Genomic DNA, 24,332 nt, shown 5'->3' with positions numbered 1-24,332 from the left:
TATCCTATTCATACCCTTTCAAATGCTTTTATATCTTTCACACTATAAATTGCCTTATATGATATTCCTACACAAATGCATATTTCCATCCCAATTCTATCTGATTCTAATTTCTTATTAAGTAGACTGCTCTTGTATAATACATTCTGATCTATTAGGATTATATTCCACTTTTCAGATGCTACAAACATTCAGCAAGTACTGTACTTCTTTTAATTGTCATCAGGTTATAAGTCTTCCAACTTCCAGTTTAAGCTTATGCCAGACAATCTTTTGGAATATTCAGCACTGAAATTTATTTTTTTCTTTTAGGTTTTGGCTTTTGGCATGCTAAATTATTTTCCATCGTTGTTCTAGCCTTCAGTGATTTTTCAAATTTTGTTAATGTTTTCAACAACCTTATTGTGGGATAAGGGTAACTTTAATCTAATCTAGTAAATATTTATTGAAATAACAATGAGCCACAGCTGCACGCTCTCTAGAAAGTCTGAATCTCAGCCCTAGGGGACTTTTCCAAATATGATCCTTCTTTGGGTGCTCTGCCTTAGCACTAAGGATGGTGACTTTCCCCTGTCTCTTCTATTCCTATATTCTTTAGAGTTTTCTGTACCACTTAGAAAGTAAAACCAGGCGACCTCTGGTACCCATGGTACAACTGAAAACAGCCACCAGAGAGAGAACTGTCTCACCTTCCTCGGCTCTATCAGGGTCATCTCTGATAAGACAGTGGCCCTCACCTGAGTCAGTGCCCAAGGTGCCCCCCACAACACCAGCGGAGGCCTCCTCCACTGAGCAGTCGGACCCCAGAGTGCTCTGTAGGAGCTGTAGACTGGGAAGAAGGGCCGGGTGTGGTGGCTCATGGCTGTCATCCCAACACTTTGGGAAGCTGAGGTGGGCGGATTGCTTGAGCCCAGGGGTTCAAGACCAACCTAGGCAAAATGGTGCAACCCTATCTCTACAAAAAATACAAAAATTAGCCGGGCGTGGTGGTGGGCACCTGTAGTCCCAGCTATTCTATTTGGGAGACTGAGGCAGGAGAATCGCTTGAACCCGGGAGGCAGAAGTTGCAGTGAGCCGAGATTGTGCCACTGCACTCCAGCCTGGGTGACAAAGTCAGACCCTGTCTTCAAAAAAAAAAAAAAAAGAAAAAAGACTGGGAATGCCTAGGTTTACACGATGGGTTATCACTCCAAAGATTTGTGTCTTTTGTGGCCAATGGCAGATCCAGGAAAGAAATGAAAGTTGCCGATGGGGATAGGCTGGGGGAGAGCAATACAGATGTGTATGGGAAACCCCAACCCATATATATTGTAAATAGATGGACTAGGCTAAACATTGTTGCTGTTTCAGTCTTCTGCAAACTCAGCTTTTCCACAATAAAGCTCTATCTCCTGTCGGAAGGAAGGAAGGAAGGAAGGAAGGAAGGAAGGAAGGAAGGAAGGGAGGGAGGGAGGGAGGGAGGGAGGGAGGGAGGGATGGATGGGGGGAGGGGAAGGGGAAGGGGAAGCACATAAATATGCTGGGACCTTCATATTGCTATAGGGCACCCCTGCTTAATGGAACCCTCCTCGCATCTCCAATGCAAACAGCCCCATGGCGGAGCAGGCAGCAGCCACTCTGGTATTTGTGTGTTTCGCAGTCCTACAGTGTGTTTCCTGTCCTTAGAGAACAAGGATTTCCAGCCATGTGCCTAATCACCTCCACTCCCTATCTTATTTTTTAAAAACCTCTTTGTAGCTGCTTCTCTTTGCCCTCACAATCCTTCATGCATAGAAGTCCTGCTTATCTAAAACTTCTGTTGTGTAAATTCCTCATTGCTGATAACAAATGTCTCCAAAATTTAGCAGCTTAAAACAATAAACATTTATAATTTCTGTAGGTCAGAAAATAAGAAAATTTTCCATTCAAGATGTTGGCCAGGTGACAGATTTACCCCTTGGTGGTAGTTTACTGACCCTTAGTCTGGTGTGTTTAGTGTTTAACAAGCAAACAAGTTACATAGAGGAAACATAGTTACTTTTCTGTTTTGGAGAACCGCAAGGACTTTCTCTTAGACCTTCTAACAAAAGGACACTATGAAAAGCAAAAGAAGAACTAAAACAAACATCTAAACATTCTTTATTATGAATGATACTTTCTTATACTCAATAATAAAAGCAATCAACCGGTATTTACATTATTTCAATTTTAAAAATATGAAATGTATCCTTAATCAAAAGAGTAGATTGGTATAGTTTATGTAATTAAATAATATGATAGGAAAGCAGTTAGCAATGATTCTTCACCAACTTGTGAAATGTAACTTTGTTTTTTTTTTTTCTTTTCATTTCAGGTATTCAATACTTCTTAGACACAGACCTGTTACCATATACCAAATATTCCTATTACATTGAGACCACCAATGTGCATGGTTCAACAAGGAGTGTAGCTGTCACTTACAAGACAAAACCAGGGGTCCCAGAGGGAAACTTGACTTTAAGTTATATCATTCCTATTGGCTCAGACTCTGTGACACTTACCTGGACAACACTCTCAAATCAATCTGGTCCCATAGAGAAATATATTTTGTCCTGTGCCCCTTTGGCTGGTGGTCAGCCATGTGTTTCCTACGAAGGTCATGAAACCTCAGCTACCATCTGGAATCTGGTTCCATTTGCCAAGTACGATTTTTCTGTACAGGCGTGTACTAGCGGGGGCTGTTTACACAGCTTGCCCATTACAGTGACCACAGCCCAGGCCCCTCCCCAAAGACTAAGTCCACCTAAGATGCAGAAAATCAGTTCTACAGAACTTCATGTAGAATGGTCTCCACCAGCGGAACTAAATGGTAAGAATCCAAGGCTGAGATTCCCCTTTTTGGTCAAGACATGAATGAGAATCTATTGTAATTGTGCAATTAGGAATTTGGCAGTTGTATTCCTTTTTATAACTGCACAATATAATAATTGAGAAACAGTTTCTAAAGATATAAGATAGTATTTGTCCTGGTTAGTGGAACAAGTGTATTTCTTCTAATCTAATAACAAATTCCATTCAATTAAATTGCCCCTTAAAAGGCTAATATTATCTTTGCTCTTAATGACATCTGCCATAACACAAATGATGTTTATAATTTGAAACTCACTTATGAAATGCATTATATTTGACTGTGTCACAAGTTAGGGCACCCACAAGCAGTACATTTTTCTCTTCTAAGCAAGAAAAAGATATAAAATGATACAAAAAATATGTATATAAGCTAACTGACTCCATTAAGTTAATTTTTGCATTCATGCATTTGAACCCTTGGTTATATAGGCCAGACACACATTCACAGATTTTTAATCATTTATATCATGTACATATTATAGCAAAATCTTTCTTTAGATTTGTAAAGTTATTTGGTAAAACTGGGTAGAGATTGACTATAACATTTATGCAAACAGGGCTTATGTTAAACAAGTTAAATTAAAACCTCCAAATTTGAAAGGATACAGACTGGAGCTATAATGATCAAATTCCCCAAAAGAACTGGCCATTCTTAACAGAAATTGTGAATATCAATTCTGAAAAAGATTGAATTTACCTATGATAAAGTGTAGTTATTTTTTGTCTATGTGTTATCCATTTTGGTTTGTTTTCCTCATGAGTATGCCTTTAATAGTATTTTATACATTCATCTATATAGCAGTTTGTTGTCTTCTATGTACCTGTCATCTAGATTACTAAACTACTAAATCACTACATTTTGAATGCTAAAGAAATTGACAGTAATCTAATTAGAAAGACAATGAATATCCAGCACTCTTTAACTGACCTGTCCCTACCCTACCCCTAAAGTAACCCCTTTGTCTGATGAGTTACGTAGGTTCACTATTTAATTTCTCTAGGAATAATTATAAGATATGAACTATACATGAGAAGACTGAGATCTACTAAAGAAACCACATCTGAGGAAAGTCGAGTTTTTCAGAGCAGTGGTTGGCTCAGTCCTCATTCATTTGTAGAATCGGCCAATGAAAATGCATTAAAACCTCCTCAAACAATGACAACCATCACTGGCTTGGAGCCATACACCAAGTATGAGTTCAGAGTCTTAGCTGTGAATATGGCTGGAAGTGTGTCTTCTGCCTGGGTCTCAGAAAGAACGGGAGAATCAGGTAAAGATCAATGTTTTAAATTCTACTTTTAAAACCTCTGAATGCAAATGTTTCCTCAAATTAAAGTCAAAGTACTGTGAAAGTACATTTTGAAAAGCAAGAATTAGAAACTTCCATAGACCAAGGAAAATTTTCATATATATGGATTTGTTACATAAACAACTCAAGGTCATAAAGTACTTGCAGCAAGTTCTAGGGGGCAAAAGTAAATGCTTTAGTTATTAATTCATGGGGCGAAAATGGCTTAACTATAGTTATAGTCTTCTGGGAATGTTTGTCAAAAATAGCATTTGGTTTCCACTCCTGAAGTGGATTGGACACATGTCTCATCTTGCTCCATATACAGCCTAATTTATGTTCAATGAAAGAGATAACTGTCACCAATTCCACAAATTTGTCTTTGTTTTTATTTATCTTTCCAAAATAAATAGTTTAGATACTAGATTGTACATAATGACAGAATCGTGGACATCAAAATCTATAATTCACAAGTGTGCTTGTAAGCAGTTGGCATGATGATAAGGAAGGAGGACAACATATCTAAATTTTCTGGATTATCTTCATTAAGGCAAAAATTTTTAATCCTCCACTTTATTTTTTATATTAAAACACTTCAAATTTCATGAGCCTTTAAGAAAAAAAATACACTTTTGTTATGTGTTTAATCTGTAGATATCAAAGAAACCCAAACCCTGATCTAAACTTGACCTGTTAGGAATATGGAGGATGAGGGTAGCTTTAGGTTGATGTCCAAGGGAATCATTTCATGAATAAAATACGCATTGTGCTTGAGCATCTCTTAATGACTACCAGCCATCTTGGACAAATAATAGAGCCATGATAGCACAAGTGATGAGGCATGGCATTCTGGAAGGGGAAAATCAAGGTCAGAAATGAAAAGTAATGGGTGAAACTGCAATACTGGTCCCTCGTAATCTTATGGGTCACTAGCTAATGAAAGTGCAATGAGTTCCTTTGATAATACACCTTTGGTTAGCACATTTAAAATCCCTGTAAAGAGCTCAGGAGTGGCAGGGGGGAAAGGGAAATGCATGTGTATGTAACCTGAACATTTCAAGAAAAATTTAACAAAAACTTTGAGACATTCATTGGGGTTATTTAGAATGCTTTAGGTTTACCTCTTTCTGAAGAATAATATTCAGCCAGCTGCATTGGATTGGCTCAATGACATATTTCCCTACATGGGAAATCCAGTACATCACCATGCATTTTTCTGAACTTTTTGAACTGAGATGTTCTATTTTTGTGACGTTTTTTAGATACTCGTAAGACTTATAATTTCCTATCTATCCACTTTCCTATCTTTATGAACATGAGCAAATTCCTATGAGATTTTTATTTTGCAAGTAGAAAGTAGCTGGTAATATGAAGATGGAGAATATACTTTCAGATAACATTTTAAAAAGTGAATACCTTTTACATATACCAGCATATTCTTGGACTTTTTCAAAGCAGAATATTTTAAAAGGTAAAGGTATTTCAGAAACTAAATGAATGTGTGAATTAAATTTAAAAATATATAGGGACGACATTCATTGTTTTGATGTTATTGTTATTGTTCTCATTGATAGCACCTGTATTCATGATCCCTCCTTCAGTCTTTCCCCTCTCTTCGTACTCTCTCAATATCTCCTGGGAGAAGCCAGCAGATAATGTTACAAGAGGAAAAGTTGTGGGGTATGACATCAATATGCTTTCTGAACAATCACCTCAACAGTCTATTCCCATGGCGTTTTCACAGGTATTGTTATTTTTAACTAATGTCCTTTCAGAATTGGCTTAGGGCTTCATTTGGACATTTTTTGAGTTTGCAGAATTCTGTGACAGAATTCTCCCTCTATATTGATTAAACAGGGCATTTTTTCTTAATATAATATTATGTGTACAAGCCTCCCTCTTTGTATGTCACTTGTATTTTTCCAGTATAATCATATATTGAAACTAAGTTGGTATAATTTATTTCATAAGACTTGTTTTTTTTCCATTTATCATGTATCCTTAAATATTTTACATGAAGTTGACTTTCATTAACTGTGTACTATCATGTTATTTGGACACACAATAATTATTTAACCAGTCCACACTCAGTTGATATTGTATTGTATTAATTCTTTTGGAAATATAAATAACATTGATAAAACTTCTTATATGTACATTTCATATACATTTCTACTTCAAAAATCTGAAGAATTGAATTTATCACAGCTTATAACAAAATGAATTATGAATATGTTCAAAGTTTTGAATATACAGTCATATATTGCCTTCTAGTAATTCATCCCCCAGCTAGCAGTAGTGAGAATAATTATCATAGCTAAAAGTTACTGAGGCTTTACTGTGTACGTGAACTAATTCATCTGATACATACAGCAATCCTAGAGGATAGGAGGCTCTTGTTCTCTCCAGTTTACAGTTGTGGCTGATATACCTCTCTGCCCATTTTACCAGCATCCAGGTGGCCAATAGCAGAAGCTGATGGAAGGATGTCAACCGAACAAGTTCTTCTGTGTATTTGGCTGTTCAGTGCCTCCTCTGAGAGAGATGCTCTTCTCTGGGCATTAGCATAAGATAAAAAGATCTTTACACTTTATACCTACTCCCATAGATCTAGCCACATTTTTCTTTCCATGAATTCCTAGTTCCTGATCCTTCCATCTTTTTTTTTCATGCCCTTGGCCAATATTTCCAAGCCACTGCCATATTGTCCAGGTACATTTTACCTTGAGACACGTCTCTTTCCACACAACATGGGTGACCAGGTGAACTGCCTGAAGTTCTGCCCACTAAGAGGATTTCTTCGCTCTGCTGTTTCACAGGGTCATCTCTGACAAGGGTTTTAGAGCAACAGCTACCATTTAGACTTGCAGCCACATACCAAGACATCCTATCTGTAAACTAAATTCTGCTTTTTTTCCACATTCTTTCAGCTCTTAAGGGACCTCCCATGGGTCATAGGTATGAGCTGAGGTTGAGCCACCAGTATAAGAATGGTGGATGTCATGGGGGCCTGAACCACCTGCTTGCACAATGTATTACGGCTTTTGGCTCTGCTTATACCCAATCTCAGACATCCACTTCCATTTTATGATGAATTTCTGTTGGGCCCTTCTAACCTCAAGACTTGGCTGAGACAATTCCAAGATTATAAAAAAGTAGCTCTAGCTGCATGGCTATTTGGTGTTCCATGACCAGATGTTCTGTTTTTACTGAAGCCTGAAAGCATGCTAGGGCCATTTAGCAAATGGTATATAGTTTCCATTACATGTTATGCCTTTGTTCCAAGCTCTTGGGGTCTATCTGCCCTGTGATTCTCTTTCTATGTGTGCCTTGCAACATTTTTTCCCACAATGCTTACCTCTAGTGCTGTAAAAATTACTACATGTTATGTCCCAAGTGGCTCATCTGCCTGTACCACAGGCTGGACCTGGTGCAGAGCCCTTTCCGCCTCTGGGATACACTCAAAACTGGCAGCATTCCATATTACTCAGTAAATTTCTCAGAACAGTATTCTCAAATGTGGAATATGCTCCCTTCAGAATGTGAAGAGGTCAACTAGACATTTTGTTTCCTTCTTAGTGGTGGTAGAAGCAAGGTGCAATAATTTGTCCTTTATTTTGGAGGGGATATCCTAGCATGTCTCAGGCCACTTGAACTCCTAAAAACTTCACTGATATGGTAGATTCCTTAATCTTCATAATATTGCTGTCTCACTTTCTAGAACACATATGTCTTACCTCTGCATACCTACCATTTCTTGTTTGTCTGATTCATTTAATATGATGCTATCGATATAAAGAATACTGTCAAGGTGGCATTTATAGTTTGTCTTAAATTGGTGATTAATCACCCTCAGATTTCCTTTGTCTTTCTTCAGTGCATTGATGGCGACCAGCAAGATCCATGCATTGTCCTTATAATTACTAGTTTCCCCAGAGTAGTCCTTGTAATTACTAATTCCACCAAACCAGTGAATTACCTTCTACTGGTAACTCATCGCAGTTCACCACTAATGGAAGTTTAAGCATTGCACCACTAGGGCATGCTGTGGACTGTTAGTACTCTACCTGCTGTCTATGATGAGATCATTGTAAACCAGCAAGTGGATGATGGAGCTCCAAAATATCATTTTAGAGTCTCCTTCCTAGGGCCAGTCCTGTTACGACTATCTTAGGGCAAATTCCCCCGGAAGCAGACTCTTGGTAGAGGACTGAGTACAGGAGGTTTATTGGGGGAACTCTTTCAGAAACAACAAATGTGAAGTGATAAAGTATGTAGGATTGAGCAGCAAAGAAGCTGAACTGTGATGCAATAGTGGAAGCAGCCTCAGCGGATTCCGTGGGTAGTTCTGGAGCTGAAATGACCCTCTTAGCTTATCTCAAATTAAGCTAGGAAGTCAGACCTTTGTACCCTAGAGTATTTGTGTCCTCGGGCTGGTGTAACAAATTAACATAAACTGAGTGTCTTAAAACAACGGAAATTTAGGTGTTAGTACAGCCAGGTCCCCCACAGGCTCTAGGAGACAATTCTTCTCTTCTACCTACCTGTGGCTCCTGGTGTTCCTTGGCTTGTGGCAACATAACTCTAATATCTGCTGCCTCTGTCTTCACAAGTCCTACTCTGTGTCTCTGTCTCCTCTGGGTCTGTGTGTCCGTCTCATTTCTCCCATAAAAATACCAGTCATTGGATTTTAAGCTAACCTGAAATCCAGGATGACAACTAATTAATTACATCTGCAAAGACCTTATTTCCAAACAAGGTCTTATTCTGAATTTTTGGGAGACACTATACAATCCACTACTAATAGGTTTGCCATTTTTTTCTAAGCCTTTTTAGGAGACCAGAACCCATGTACAACACACAATTTTATTTTCTATACTGATGAAAAAGAAGAGCCAATAAATAATTTATGATTACTTATTTTTCATTAATCTGTCTACGTGTTCACTCATTTGCAATTATCTCATGATGAATACACAACTGGCATAATATATATATTTTGACTTAAACAGGTTAGTCTACCGATCTGGTATACCATGGGATTTAAGGTAAAGTTAGTTGTAACTTTCATGTGGTCTTTGCCATGTTGTATCTCATTTATACTCAATGTTTTATTTTGTTGTTTTTACTATTCTCTGGCTTTATAAACTATTCTTTCTTTGTAAAACACAGTTTTGATTTATCTATTACTTATATTATAGTAGTTGTTGTTCTAAGAAAAAAATAAGGTGAGAAATATTATTTATAAAATACAGCCTTAGAAGTCAACCTGTTTGTTCATATTCCACATCTCCCAATTATTAGCTGTATCACACGTCTCTCTGCTTCTGGTTTTATTCATCTGTGAAATGGGAAAACCATTTTTGCTCACCTACCTGCTTAAAGAGCCTGATAAATATTGACACATTATTATTAGTGATTATTATTAATGGTGTGGAACTACATTATACTTTATAAACTAGCTATCATTTAATGGGGCAGGAAAATAAATATTTTTATTATTGTTGTTGTTATTTAAAAGGCTGTTCCTTATGGCTGAACTGGAATAAGGACATAGATATATCACCTTATTCTCTTTTTTATTTTTATTTCTTTGAGACAGAGTCTCGCTCTGTCACCCAGGCTTGAGTGCAGTGGCGCAATCTCAGTTCACTGCAATCTTCTCTTCCTGGGTTCAAGCAATTCTTGTGCTTCAGCCTTCCAAGTAGCTGGGACTACAGGTGTGTGCCACTACACCTGACTAATTTTTTTTTTAATTTTTATTTTTAGTAGAGACAGGGTTTTGCCATCTTTGCCAGGTTGGTCTTGAACCCCTAGCCTCAAGTGATCCACCCGCCTCGGTCTCCCAAAATACTGGGATTACAGGCATGAGCCACTGCACTGGGCCTACCTTATTCTCTTTTGAACTCTCTCTCCTGTGCAAATATTCTCTGTTCAAGGAAATGAAATCAAAAGTAGCAGAACAAAGTCCAATTTTTTACCTTCTCAATGATTAAATTTGTATCTGAACTGACCTGAGTATGTCTTGTTATAATCTTTGTAAATAAATAGCCAAAATTCCCAGGGAAAATCTACTATAAAAATAACTAGTAAGAAACCTTTGCCTAAGAATGAGACAGGGGGGATACGTAAAAGTGGTGATGATGTAGGATTCATTGTGGGGGATCAAGCTGCTGTAGAATTTTTCCTACCCCTTTGAAGACTTATTTCATGAAAAACTTTCAATTAGATAGATTTTATAAGACTTATAAATTGACTCTATGTACATGATAAAGACAAAGTCTATCCAAGTGATAATTTTATGCTGCAAGTTCTGGGGCCAATAATGTATTTTTAAAATAATGTAATTTATAATAATCATCTGTAAAGAAGGAAAAGCCTTTTCAAAATAAATATTAGTGTAGATTTCTTCTTTCTTATTTTATTTCATCGTGGGTTCTTGCTACAAAGAATATTTTGCTTAAAAAATAGTTGTACTTCCTAAATTAAATAAGAAATAGCTTCATGTACTTTATCCTAAAAACAATACCATTTTCTAAAAATTTACATTGAAATCTACCAGGATTATTCTAAAAGGGATGAATATTACAGCAATATTCATAAGTTTAACTCAGTTCAAGGTTTATTTTACTTAGAAAATTTTAAATCACATTTCACAGAAAAGTTTGTATCTTCATTATATCAATAATGATTTTAAAATTAGAAAAATAAAGAATTACTTGGTATTTGATGTTTTTCTTATTTCAAAATGTAATTGCAAGGAAATGGTTTTAAAGTTTTAAATTTAAATTATTCCTAGAGTTTTAGAATCTTTAAAAACACCTTTATTTCTGAATGTTATTGAAACACTGTATTCTACATTCCAATCTCACTGCTTTTTAGAACAACTCATGTAACTTACGAAATTTTAAAGTCAACACCTAGGCAAATATTCCAAATGAATTTTATTTTACCCCTAAAGAGAAAGTCTCTAGAAAACTACTCCAAATGTTACTGAACTTTACATTTATCTGTATTTATATTTATGGAAGATTATTTTATATGACTATGTATCAGTAGCCCTAAGAAAATTAGTTTTGTACTCATAGTTACTGTCATACTCTCTGTTTTAATGACTTTTATTTTCTGAATATAATTTCTAGTGGCCTTTGTACCTACAACCTAAACAAATTTACATGGTTGCTTTTGATCACTTCAAATTATAATGACAGAACCAACTCTCAATGTTAATTGTTTAATAATTTATTTATGGACTGTGAGTTTCCTGTCAGTCTTCTTTGCTCAAATCTGCTATTTTCATTTGAAATTATATGATAAAGATAATATTTCAAATAACGTAACTGTTTGATCTAATCTTTATATGTTTGTTTATATAAGAAAGATGATTGAGAATTGACTTAACGTGGATGCTCAGTAATATGCTTAATGTTTAATTTTTTCCCCTTTTTCTTCTGTGACTTTTTTTCATAAAGAAAATGATAGTATCGATTTAACATAGCAACGGCATTTCTTTCTGTCCTAGCACCATCAAATAGCTTGGGTATTACTGCTCTGGGTTACTTTTGGCCAAGCCCCATGGCTTTGTTTGGACTTTATCATGATAACAATGACAATGTCACCGTCTTTATCTCTACCATTGGTGACAATAACCATACCACCATGCTGCTTTATGAGGCAATAACTTGGTTTTCTCATTTATCCACTCAGGAACTGGATTATTACCTCATAAAACAGTGTGATTGTACAATAATCAATTAAATCCTGGCTTGTCGAGACTCTTCAGAAAAAAAAAAAAAAACCCTTTTCCTAATGGTGGTTGGCAATAATTCCCTCTGTCTGAATTCATGGAACTTTGACTGCCAAGGTTATATTTTCACACTGATTACCTATTATCTTTCTTTCTTTCTTTCTTTCTTTTTTGCCTTGAAGCTGTTGCACACTGCTAAATCCCAAGAACTATCTTACACTGTAGAAGGACTGAAACCTTATAGGATATATGAGTTTACTATTACTCTCTGCAATTCAGTTGGTTGTGTGACCAGTGCTTCGGGAGCAGGACAAACTTTAGCAGCAGGTAAGCAAGTTTTAATGGATATGAAAAATCTGTTGCCTATCAAGAAAAAAAACTTATAATATTCAACACCTTCTCTACTTGAGACTTTATATTTGTCTTCTCCTCCCTCACTAACTCTGATTGCTTCTTACCTCAACAGTTTTAAACAACAACAACCAAAACGTAACTTAAAGAGGTACCTAGGAGCTACGAGTTACAGCTGTGTCATAATAAGAAATATAATTAGTGGTAGAGTGACTCCACTCTACAACTAGAAATATATAGAATATACAACTAGAAACATATACAAATATATAGAACTAGAAATACATAGAAATGTAATTAGTTGTAGCGTGACTCCAGGGCTTAACTACCAACCTGTGTCCTAGCAGTGTCCTGACAATTGTGAGAAACAATCAGGAAGCTTCTTATGAGGACGTTAGGATACCTCTTCCCTCAGTCCAGACATTTTTTGTAGGCTTGGCTCTACTCACTCCTGATCCATGGGAACATCTAGAAATTACTGTGTGGCCTGGTGTTATATTTGGCTTTCATGAAATAGGTAAATGTTTATCTATTGTTTTATTAAGAAGAAGCTTTTAAGTTAATAAAATTTAAATAAAAGAATTGTTATTAAGTATAATCTGAGTAGAAATGGTTTGTATAATTTGTGCTTGCTTCATTCAGGACTAACTGGATTCATACAAACCTGATTACATGTATTAGTAAGACTTATAAAACCCAATTATTTAGCATTAATATATTTTCAAATCAGTGTTTTTCTGATTCTAGATAAAAGCTTAGTTTCCTGGTTATCTTTAAAGAAATGTCCATGTGTAAGGAGGTTAAGACACTCTAGATGAATTACAGATATTACGAAAATTCATGTTTACCTGTAAAAACATTTCCTAGACCTCCTCCCCAAATCCCTTCATCCTATTATTAATAGGTCCAATTATGTAGGGTTTTTTTTCTGGTTCTGGAAAAAATTGCTTAGCTCAAATGATCTCATCCAAGTAATTTATTTTTTTCAAAATTTTCATTAATGCAAACAACTCTGAAATTCTAAGAAATTATGGTTTACTAAATTTATAACTGAACACTTTGTATTTTTATGTATTTTATAGATGTGCATTTCAGATGCATGAATACATTGATGGAGTACCTAGCTTGTACAAAACACTCTTCTCCTATAAAACTATCTGTTTTTGTATACTGTATTATTAAAGGTTTACTGAATGCTGAATATGGACAGCAGAGGAGGACTCTATCTCCTTTAAATGATACAATTTCAGACTAGAAGACAAAAATTAAAATAAGAATCAGTCTTACAAGTTGGAGAAAGTAAAAATGGAGACAACGGAGGGTGAAGACTGGGTGTGTTATAGTAGGGGACATAGGGATCCCAAGCACGTGGCCATGCAAAACTGGAATCACATCCTCTCAGGGTTGCAAAACATGTAAAAATAATCTAGTGTTACTATATAGCCAGTATCAATATATTCTTTGTAATATTCCCCCAAGTGTTCATCTAACCCATGTCTGATACCTTCAGTGTTACAGAAACTACTACGTCTCAGACAAAGCTATACCATCTTTAGATACCTCTTTTAGAATGTGATTTCTTAGATTGGTCAAAAATATCTCCTAGTAACTTCTACTCAACATTCTTATTCTACTTCCTTGGGGGCTGTCGTTAACCTAATTTATCATCCTTCCAATAACATTTTCAATAACATTATATCCACCCAAGTCTTTTCTCCTTTAGGCTGCATATCATGGTGGTTCCCATCTGAACCTCATATGCAATAGTGTCTAGAGCTGTTATTAGTATAATTCTTGTAGATGAGATCTAGTCTGCCTTTTCATAGATATAAGCAAACTAAAGAACCTGAAGAGAGACATGCCCGTCCCTAGAAACTAGCTGGATCATGGAGATGGGAATAGAAGAGCAGGAAACATGTCTACAGAATAGAATCTGCCTGCCCTATGCATTAGTGGTAACATCTGTGCTAATAGTATCCTCATTGGTTGCAGTGGCAAAATCCTGTTGCGTAAAAGATGATGTACCTGGGTGCTCTGTGCAGCTCTCATTTTAGTTACTGGTGAGGCGATTAAAACGACTCCTGTCCACTGGCAGGATTGTGAAGTAAAACTAACTAGTCAGAGCCCTCTGAATCCTCTCTCTATTTTTTTTATCCTTGAAAAATAGAACTGGAAACTTATATTCGCTAAAAGTCATGTGACGTGAAAGTTAGTTGACTTACAAAAATAAGAGTTTATTCATATATGTGAGGGGAAAAAAATGGTTAGCCAAAATGCCAGGGTTTCAATCCGGGCTCTGCCATTGACTAGCTGTGTGACCTTATATAAATTATCTAACCTCTGTGCCTTAGTTTTCCAATTTATAAATAAGCATAACTTATTTGTAGGGTTCTGATGAGGATTAGAATTAGTTAATACATGTAAAATATTTAAAGCAGTGCCCATCACAGTTCATTCTCAATAAAAATTTATTGTCATGATTTTTATCATAATATTATAGAAGACTTTTGTTAGTCACAGTATAAATGTTATGGAATTTCTAATGTTATCAAAATCAAGGAGAGTTTATTTTACAACTTTGATTTTCTAACATTATTATAAAATATAAAATGGAGAGTTCTAAAACTAAGGATTGTATTGTGAAAATAAAACTTAGAAAGGCTTAAAATCTGAAAGCATTATTTATTATTTCTGTAAGAAGTATGTCATTCAGAATTATTATGCACATTTCAAAACTTTGCTCAAAAACAGCAAATTTCACATTTGTTGGTTGCAATATAGAGTTAATAATGTGCCATAAATGTATTATTACTACATTTTATTGTGAATGCTCAATTCAGAACCATCTCTTGAGGGCTTACTATTTAAAGCACTGTGGAGGATTCTAAGATAATTATACTCAGCATTTGGGTTAAGGAGTTGAGATCCAACAGGTAGGATTAACACCATGGCGACATGTGCTAAGGGCTGTGAGAAAGGTGAAAAAAATGCTATGGGAAGGTAGAAAATGAGATAAATGATTTTGATTTGGGAGACTGAGTAGATACCTCATTAAATGCTATTTCAGATAAACTATAAAAGAATGGTAAAGACTTTCGCAGATATTTACTGAGCACATACAATGTGCTAGTTTCTGTTTTAGGGGCTGGCACTGTTCCAAGTACTGATGTAATGAAAGCAGAGATTTATGAAGACTTCCCTGGTGGTAGAGTACACAATAGATTAGAAGAGGGAGTGTAATAAGTGTCTGGTAGACTTTTTTAAAAAGGCAATAAGAGAGTAAATCAGACGAGTAGAAGTGAAGATTGAAAGAAGGGAATGGAGTGACTTCAAGGAAGACAGACCTGGAAGTTAAGCAGTGGGAAGGATGGACAATGATAGCAAATATTGCAGCCCATGGTGGTGCCATTAAATAAAAGGGGAAAGATGAACAAAGAACAGATGGGAGAAATAAACTCGTGAGTTTATTTGATCATTTGATAGAAACACATCCATGCCAATTATAACCATCCAGGAGCAGAAATTGCAAATCTGGGGCTTAAAAATGATGCAGATTTTGTATTCATCTGCATATAGATGGGAGCTAATGCTATAGGTTATAATCAATTAGTGAAAGCAGAGAAAATGCAAAATGGAAGCCCAAAGAAAACACCTTAGTGAATATTCTATCTGGGAAGAAAGAAGAAAGGAAGAGTGAAGTGAACAGAGGTATGGTCAGAATTAGGAAAAGAACTGAGAGGAAGCAGTATCAGAAAAGTCAAGGGAAGAGAGAATTCTAGAAGGAGAATATTGTCTGCAGTGTCATATGGTATAGGGAAAGCAAGAGAAATGTGACCTAAAATGGATGCGAGGTCACTGGTGACTCTCTGGGGATTACCCTAATTAGCATGGTTGAAGCAGAAGCTGGAACATGAAGGATTGAGCAGCGGCAGGAGGAGATATAGTGGTAAATTTCAAATGTGTTTTTTTTTTTTTATTCTTTGCTAAAATTTTTCTTCTACCCAATTTTCATTCTTCAAAAAATTGTATTACCTTTTGTTTCCATATAAAATCCTTTCTTTTCTAAAGAAAAATTTATTTTAGTGTTTGTTTTTTTCTGGAAAAAATGTTTATTTTCTAATTCCTTAATATATTTTGTTAGAACTATCTGATTCTTCACCTGCCCAGCAGAAAAAGAAAGTCTCTTATATGACAAAAGTATGGAAAAATAATTTTTACTTACAGTTGGGTTTATTATAAAATACATCATTTTTAGGGTTGTTCAGATCAGTGAAAATAAACTTATTTGCTTTTATTTGAATACCAGGAAAAAATTATAAATCCATCATTCTTTTTGCCTCCTTCCTTATTCAGTAGATGAATGTGTATTTCTAAATGTTTTTCCAAAACAAAACATCTGAATAGAAAGTATAGACATTAAATCATAGAAATACACTGCAGACCTATAATAAAGCCAGTTCTTTAGAATGGTCAACAATTTTGCTATAGGAGAGTAATAAAAGTTGACTTGCAACTTTACTGTTCATCCTGCTCTGTTTTTTCTACTATTAACATTGCAATTTGGAGAGTATATATTATTCCAATGAACTCCAATGGATTTGTGGGAAATTTAACTCTTATGTCTAATAGCTCATATGAGCTCATTATCAGACATCAATGGAAACGAGTGACCATTCAAAAATTTTGAAAAAGAGCACCACAAATTAGAAGTAGTAATTAGCCTTTTGGAAGCATTTGAATCATGAAAAGATATGTTGCCCCCTTAAATCTCGGTCTCAAAAATCAGAAAGATACTTGTGAAGATTTATCTTGCTGTTTCATTAAAAAGCTTGAGAATTATAATTGGCTCTCTCTTGTTTTAAACATTTTTTCAATTAAATATATGATTAGAATGGGTACATTTCATCCAGAGTATTGCACTGCTGCTTCTTTAGTTTCAATGCCTGTGACAAAGTCTGAGAACTGATTTGAGAGAGGTGTTCTCTCAGGAGCAGCTGCATCTCTCTCCATTGCAAAATCTTCAAGCAGTGTTATTAATGGCTTTGGAGTTGCTTCTGGGTGTATGAAGGTAATGAGTTGATGAACTGGGCCCTCTTAAAATCCTTGTTACACTTTTCTTTAAGATTCTCCTTTTAATCCGAGAAATTTGTGCATTTCCACCCATTGCAAATTGAGTTTAGTTTAAACCCTTCTTATGAGAAATTACTTTTGGAGATCCATTCCTGAAGGGACAATGTGATATTTCCCTTGCCTGTCATAAATTGACCTCCATACTACAAGCTTAGAAGTGCCCATCTCGCATAAAACAAGTAATTGGTGTGCATTAAATTTTCTTTCTGAATGCAAAGTAAAATGTATAGGCTGTTTGCTGCTGGGTTGAAAACACACATTGTTTTGCATTCGGGTACATAAGTCTTTTCCTTGTGAATAGGAGCCAGAGTGATTAAACAAGCACTCTTAATATGTTAATTTATAATTTTAATTACAACAATCTTGTATATATAGTCATTAGTGAATACTAATATAAATATTTTTCTACCTTTTTATTCATAATGCATAAACCAATCACCCAGTTACTTCTCTGAGGTTGCCTGTTTTTGTTTCATAATACAATCTTTGTTCTTAGTTATGAATGCATTTTGTTCATTCCTGTCTTCAATAATCCCTCATTAAGCTAGTCACTTTCTGCTCCATGCTAAAAAGGAAAAATTATCATGCAAATGTGGCATGCCATATTAAAAAGCACATTACCAAACACTTTTGTTGCTGTCCTTCAATTAGTTTCCCTTCTTTGAATTTAATTCCATTTGTTGTTAAACTACTGACTTGATGTATGGACTCATGAATCTGAGGCTGCTGCCAAGAAAGTGGGGAAAAAAAATCAAAGCCTCTTCGAAGAGCTGCAGAGGCGAGCTGAAATGAATTTGCTTCACCTTTGACAAGAACACTTGAACAGCATTGGAATCCTCTGATGATTCAACTTGGCTAATTATCCAATTATTTATTTCAAGAATAAAGGCACCATTTTACAATTAAGGAAGTGTAAAGTAGTCTGAGAAATTTGGTAATGACAGATGACTTAAGTAACTTCTAAGATAAACAGTATCTGTGCAAAACTTGTCCCACCAATTGTTTTCAGGCAGCAGTTGGTGTGTCTTAGCATCAGTGAAATCCTGAGTACACTGAAGGTTTTTTGTTTGTTTGTTTTGCTCTTTCAACAGAAATTATTTTACACTTGTAACCAACATGTCAAATTTCCATGGCTCTTAAGCAATGTTTAAGTTATATTTCTCTTGATTAAAAGCTTTCGGTTCAAAGCAATACTTTTTAATTGCCTAATGATATAAGTCAGTTCTTAGGAAAGAACCGCACATTTAGGAGTTCATTTGCAATATAACTGAAAAATTCATTGCATGGCAGTAAAACAATTTACTGTTAATTACAAGGAGAAGAATTTGCTGTAGCATGCTCGCAGATTGCCATGAATCATGCAGCACTCCTAGAGATTTATAACAGATGTGTAAATGGGATGAATTAGCAGGGTTTAATAACAGAGACACAAATCATGCAGACTTCAAGGAGCTTTAATTGATATACTAGAATGTGACGGGCATGAATCACTCAGCCATTCAACAGCACTGTAACATATGGTCAGCTCAATATGCCGCATCTTAAATCGGTTGGTGAGTCGTAGGTTGTCCCATATGGTGGAAGCAATACATTTTTCATGATTAAAAAAAAGAATCCATTTTTTAAAGAAATATGATTGCAAAGCATGTTATTGAACAGTCTTCTGAATGCCAAACTGCTTTTTTTAAATGCTTTTTTTTTTCTTTAACATGGCAGCTTCTCAAAATAAATAGGGGCTACTCCTTGTAATACCAGATCGCTGGAGGCATTATAAGAACCAAATCGGTGCTTGTTGGCACACTCGATCCACAGCAAGCCTATAGAAAAGCGCAGCTGATGATTGCTGTGATTGTCAGGGAAATCCTTCAGGCTGGGGCAAAACAAACAAATGAAAGGATGATGTCACTTTCAGAGAAGTTCAGGAATGCCCAGCTTTGTAAATTGAAGAAAATGAGTTGGATGAGAGATCCCTGCTTAGCAGGGTAAGAAAGTGGCTGTGATAAATAATACCATGACCCCTAAGGTAACAATTGGATGTAACATTTTATACTAACTTCTTAATTAAATGCTCAGTCCTACAGGGGCATGTGAAAAGAAGCACTGGCTGGTCATCACATAGATGGTAGCACCAATTCCAAGTCATTCTTGAAGAATTATTTCAGTATCTGCAAACAGGTACCCTGGTTGAAGACTGGTAACTGGTAGTGTGCAAACATGTTTTTATTGGAACTGGGATCTGGCAGCTTTTGGAAAAGCTTTTGCTGCATTAGTAAATCTGACAGACTTGAAAAAGGAATATTGCAGCCTTAGAACTGTGGCTGCCAGAATTTAATGTCAACAATTAAAATTTATTTTGATCCTTACCTAGTGTTTATTACTGTTTGTATACACAACAGACCTTACTAATACAGAGATGCACTATTAGATGGAATTACCATCTGTTCAGAGTGAAATGCTGGCATCTGTCTTAGATGCTAAAACTAAAATGATATTATTTCTAACAAAACAAAATTAACTGCTTTTTACTCACCAACTTTAATTTGTAGTGTGTAGTTGTATCCAAGGAAAAGGCTTGATTTTGAACTATGTGATGACCTCTGTGGCCAGGTCTATATTTAGATATGCGACTTTATCAGGGGCTCTACTGGCCTTTTTGGCATATGAAAATGGCATGTAGAAATCACACTTTCAATACACAATTATAGCTTCATAATATACTATGTATCCTATAAGTCATTAAAACAACACAACCAAGCTATGTAAAAATTGACTGAATCAGAGAGACTCTACTATGCAAAATATTTTGACAGATACGCCCTAAAAAACTGCAAGGAAAGAAATTAAATAGGCAAAAAATCATCTGAACAAAGTTGCTATAGGTCCCACAGTGACATCTTTAGGAAAATACAAACTGTATCTTTCTTCTCTGTTAGACTATTTTAAATTTTCTCCCACATGGACATATATAAAAAATTTACATTCAGTGCCCCCTCCTTTTAATTTAAAGCCTAAGTATCCTATTAAAATAGGTCTTTAGCTTTTGGAAGTTAGAGAATTTGGAGGATCAAGGACAATGGTAGTTTCCATACTGATGTTAGATCAGTGACGCTACTTTCTGAGAAGCCAGACTTCTATTCTATATATCACAAAATAATAAATTGTGTCACACCAGCATTTAATGCATGTACACAGTGCATTAACTGTAACTGTAGTACATTTATTTGTGCTGCAGGAGACTTGAAAATGATGAAGAAATCGATACTTTGCTGTCAGAGAAGCAAGTGTTACGATGCATTTAAGTAGTTAATTGCATAAGCCCCATAAAAGCTTCAAGTTTGGGTAGCAAGGATGCCATAATTACAGTCTGAGCAACTACCTTTTATTAGTGGTGGACTTTAGGGAATGGTGGTTGCTGTCATCATTGCTGCTATATGTGCAGTTTAGAAATAATGGATCCTCTTCTCTCTTCATGTGTAGGATGGTAGTTTTGTGCAAATTATTGTGATCGCCAGAACAATAACTGGTTAAGGTAGTGTTTGTTCACCATGTTCACTGAACTTCTCTAAAAGCAGGGTTTTCTTTATGTCACAGAACACATAGACAAATCATATTTGTATGCCATGCTAAGGTAAAGGAACAAGGTGGCTGAGAGCTGAAGGGGATAAACCAGAGGGGCTCCTGCTGGCTTCCCAGGAGCAAAGGGGATCAGGATGTCTGGTACCCATTCGTGGCTTATGAACTTAGAAGTACTGTTTTAAATTATTCAACCAAAGAATTTTGAAACTGGAAGAGGTCCTAGACATAATCAAGCCTGTCACTCTAACAATTGAAGTAACCGAAGAATAGAGAGACCTAATAATGGATTAACCAATGTTCCATAATCAGGGTCTTAAAGAGCCAATCTAGAGCCTACATTTTCTCCTTTCCAGATCTTCTAGTAATATCCTCTCCTGAAGGTGACTTGTCAACAAAGAAGAAAGTGGCAAAATATATTTTATTCTTTCTTCCCTGGTCAGATAATAGACAGTCAACAAGATGATGCTGAGTCACCCCTGAGAGTTTCGGGGGAAAACTTTTCCTCTTTAAGACACTGATTGGTGAGCAGCTGATTCTGCAGCAGTCTCTCTGCAACAGAGAAATCAGGGCTCATGACCTGGACTTCTTGTTTGCGTCCTGGTCCAGTGCCCTTTTGCAAGTGTTCTGGCCTAGCAGTGTTTGGCAAATTGTATTTCCTGGCATAGTTTTGCATTTCTGCGAAAAAGTCAAAATCATATTCTATTGACAGGGTGCTTATTAAGAATGTCTTATGTAGTCTGCTCCCCACCCACCCCTGAAACATAGAAAAATTGTTTATTCTTAAATTCTTGTCATCATCATAGAAAGCTGATGATGCTTTAAGATATTGACACAGCCATACAGTCTTCATAGGCAAAAAATGAACAGATTCCTTAAAAACAAATGAACAGATTCCATTTTAAAGACCAGTACCTCAGAAGAGCTTTGTTCAGCTTTTAGTTCTTATCCTATGGTGCTCAAAATGCTACACTACATAAATTTTGCAAGTCTAAATGTATTCATTTGGATATACTACTAATTATGTTATAAAGTAATAAATGCTGCATAAAGAATGCATATTATAACATTTTATAAAAATATCTATACATCGAATAGATAGACAAGAAATTAGATTACCCCTATTAAAAAATACAAGTGCTATTTTAAAAGTACAAGAATTTTGTACTTTTATTCAAATAGACATTTTATTCTTAGAAATGATGGATAATGAACATTCATTTTAAACTTTGTATATTATCCTTAGAAATAATGAATATTGAAGATTCGTTTTAAACTTTACATTTACAAGAATTTTCTGGGTAAATACAGATAGATTTTGAATATAGATGAATTGTATTCCTTAATCATACATAATTTGAAAGATTTGTTCTTGTAATGATAGCACCTTATATTTGTATAGAAACTTGTTTTCTAAAACATAAAGCAAATATGTATATTGTTGTAGAAGCAATTGTTGTCAATGTATGTCACTGAAAATGTATCCTCATGTTGCAGATGGGAAAGTGGGAGCAGATATAAAGGGATTTTTCTAAGATCACACAGATTTAGACATTAAAAAGTGAAATATAATTTTTAAAAGTCTACCAAATCCCTTTCATTATTCAGTGTTGTCTCTTAACGAACTGTTTTGTAAATTAACAAATCTTTAAAAGTCATATCTACTTTTACCTATAGTTCCTTTTCCTTGAAAATCTGACGAATAATTCATCATTACCCCAATCTCTTGGTGATTCTATGTGCATGTATGTGTGTGTGTTTAATGGTTCAGAAGTATCTATTTTTCTTCTTATTCTACTTGTGTGTATGTGAGACCAGTCTAGTTTAATTGATTGACAATTTCACTTAATTCCCCCTTCCAGCCTTAGAAGAACTCTGAAAAGAATAACTCAGTAGGATGTTCACCCTTTCAAACAGGCTTAGTTGACTCCTCCATGTGAAACTGTAAAACACACCTACTGGAATGTTTTTTGTTTTGTTTTTCTTTTAAGCAAGAGAATAAAAAATGTACTCTAGTTCTATTCATTCTCAGGAATTGACTTCTAAAGGACAGTCCCATTGCTAGATGGAATAATTCCTCTGGGAATCAAGAAGTGCTCTACTACTTAAAGTTTAAATGGTAAACATTAACTTTAATGGACTCTCAAGAATTTCCCTATTGATTAGAATCACTTTGCCAAATTAAAAAAAAAGTGTGCTCTAATTTTCAATAATTATTACACAAAAACGACAGAGTTGCCAGAATTCCTTTTGTTTAGTTTTGTTTCCTATTACTCTTAATCTATATTCCTGTTTAAGACGTAATTTTTGGATTATGCTACTGATGGGGGAAGGAATTTGATTTCTGTGGTGGTGCTGAGCTTCAACATTATCTCCATTGAGTTGAGTGGTTGGAGTAAAGTAGAGATGTATCAACTTTCAAACAAATGGGACCTGGAGAAAGGCTGCTTTCAAACAGCAATGAAATTCTTCAGCTTTTAAGAAGCATAGGAGGCATATTCATACTTCTTCTCAACATTTAGTTAAAATGGAAATCCTATCCTCAACACACCAAATATGTATAATTTGTGATGCTCTGTCTACATCTTTGGTGTCCAGTATGGTAGTCATGAATCATATGTGGCTATTTAAATTCAAAATACAGTTAATTAAAATTAAGAAATTTGACATTCAGTTTCTCATTCTCACTAGCTACATTTCAAGTGCTCAATAGTCTTATTATAAGGCTAGTGGTTACCGTATTAAACATTACAGTCCTAGAACATTTCCTTCATTGGAGAAAGTTCTATTGGACAGTACTGGTAAAGTAGTTTTTGGCTATTGGATATTACTAGGTTAGTAGTTTATGAAACTAAAAAGTTCAGGTTTCTGTGTCCCAAAACCCTAGGGAATCTAGCAAATTTCAATTTAAACATTATGTAATTGGTTCTCCATTGCTTCCCTGAGCCCAGGACTAAAAAATCTTTGGCAGCTTTCCTTTCCTAGTTGAGATTATAGCCAAGAATGGCCTGCTAAAATCTTAATACAAATATGTAACTCTAAACTCTGAAGAGAGACTCTGGGTGAAGAAATTTCTGAATGGCTTAGCCTTTTATTTTGTTTTGGATTATTTTGAAGTGAGATCATAACTTGTAGAATGAAATCTTTGAGAACCTACCATTTAACTGATTTTTAGCAGAAAAAAATGCTAAGAGAAATTATGCATATAATTCACAGATTCATACATATATAAAAATAAAATATCACATGGGCTGCAGTGGCAGAAAATAACCAGAATTGTTAATTATCCTTCTAACTTGATGAACTTTTTGCTCAGTGCCTTTTCTTTTTTACTAAAAGTTAAAATAGAACCAAAATGAATTGTTTCTTTTTGA

General features: G+C 35.3%; 1 protein-coding gene, 1 long non-coding RNA gene and 1 pseudogene across 5 annotated transcripts in view, besides 1 other annotated feature; 2 read left to right on the top strand and 1 right to left on the bottom strand.

Moving 5' to 3' along the window:
* USH2A-AS1 (USH2A antisense RNA 1) overlaps positions 1 to 8,732 on the bottom strand; it is a 44,314-nt gene extending 35,582 nt beyond the window's left edge. For 2 of the 3 annotated variants that reach the window (XR_922596.4, XR_922595.4), the window contains exons 1-2: positions 8,225 to 8,732; positions 6,529 to 6,711 (exon numbers count right to left, since the gene is read on the bottom strand). This is a non-coding gene — a long non-coding RNA (USH2A antisense RNA 1). The other variant, XR_922598.1, reaches the window with a different exon arrangement.
* The window catches only part of USH2A (usherin), an 800,558-nt gene that overhangs the window by 220,995 nt on the left and 555,231 nt on the right, over positions 1 to 24,332 (top strand). For both annotated transcript variants that reach the window (NM_206933.4, NM_007123.6), the window contains exons 17-20: positions 2,333 to 2,827; positions 3,870 to 4,139; positions 5,732 to 5,901; positions 12,087 to 12,231. In NM_206933.4, the coding sequence (NP_996816.3) occupies positions 2,333 to 2,827; positions 3,870 to 4,139; positions 5,732 to 5,901; positions 12,087 to 12,231 (1,080 nt within the window). The remainder of the gene's footprint in view (positions 1 to 2,332; positions 2,828 to 3,869; positions 4,140 to 5,731; positions 5,902 to 12,086; positions 12,232 to 24,332) is intronic.
* Positions 628 to 1,396, top strand: MRPS18BP1 (mitochondrial ribosomal protein S18B pseudogene 1; annotated as a pseudogene).
* Positions 18,887 to 19,540: an enhancer, noted in NCBI's record as "OCT4-NANOG hESC enhancer chr1:216356256-216356909 (GRCh37/hg19 assembly coordinates)". NCBI's record gives its function as "activates a minimal SCP1, AML or CMV promoter by ChIP-STARR-seq in naive H9 embryonic stem cells {active_cell/tissue: H9 hESC(naive)}" and the evidence as "EXISTENCE:reporter gene assay evidence [ECO:0000049][PMID:30033119]".

Source organism: Homo sapiens, chromosome 1 (genome assembly GCF_000001405.40).
Source record: "Homo sapiens chromosome 1, GRCh38.p14 Primary Assembly".
Classification (NCBI taxonomy): Eukaryota; Metazoa; Chordata; class Mammalia; order Primates; family Hominidae; genus Homo; species Homo sapiens.
This window is presented reverse-complemented; position numbering and strand designations above follow the sequence as displayed.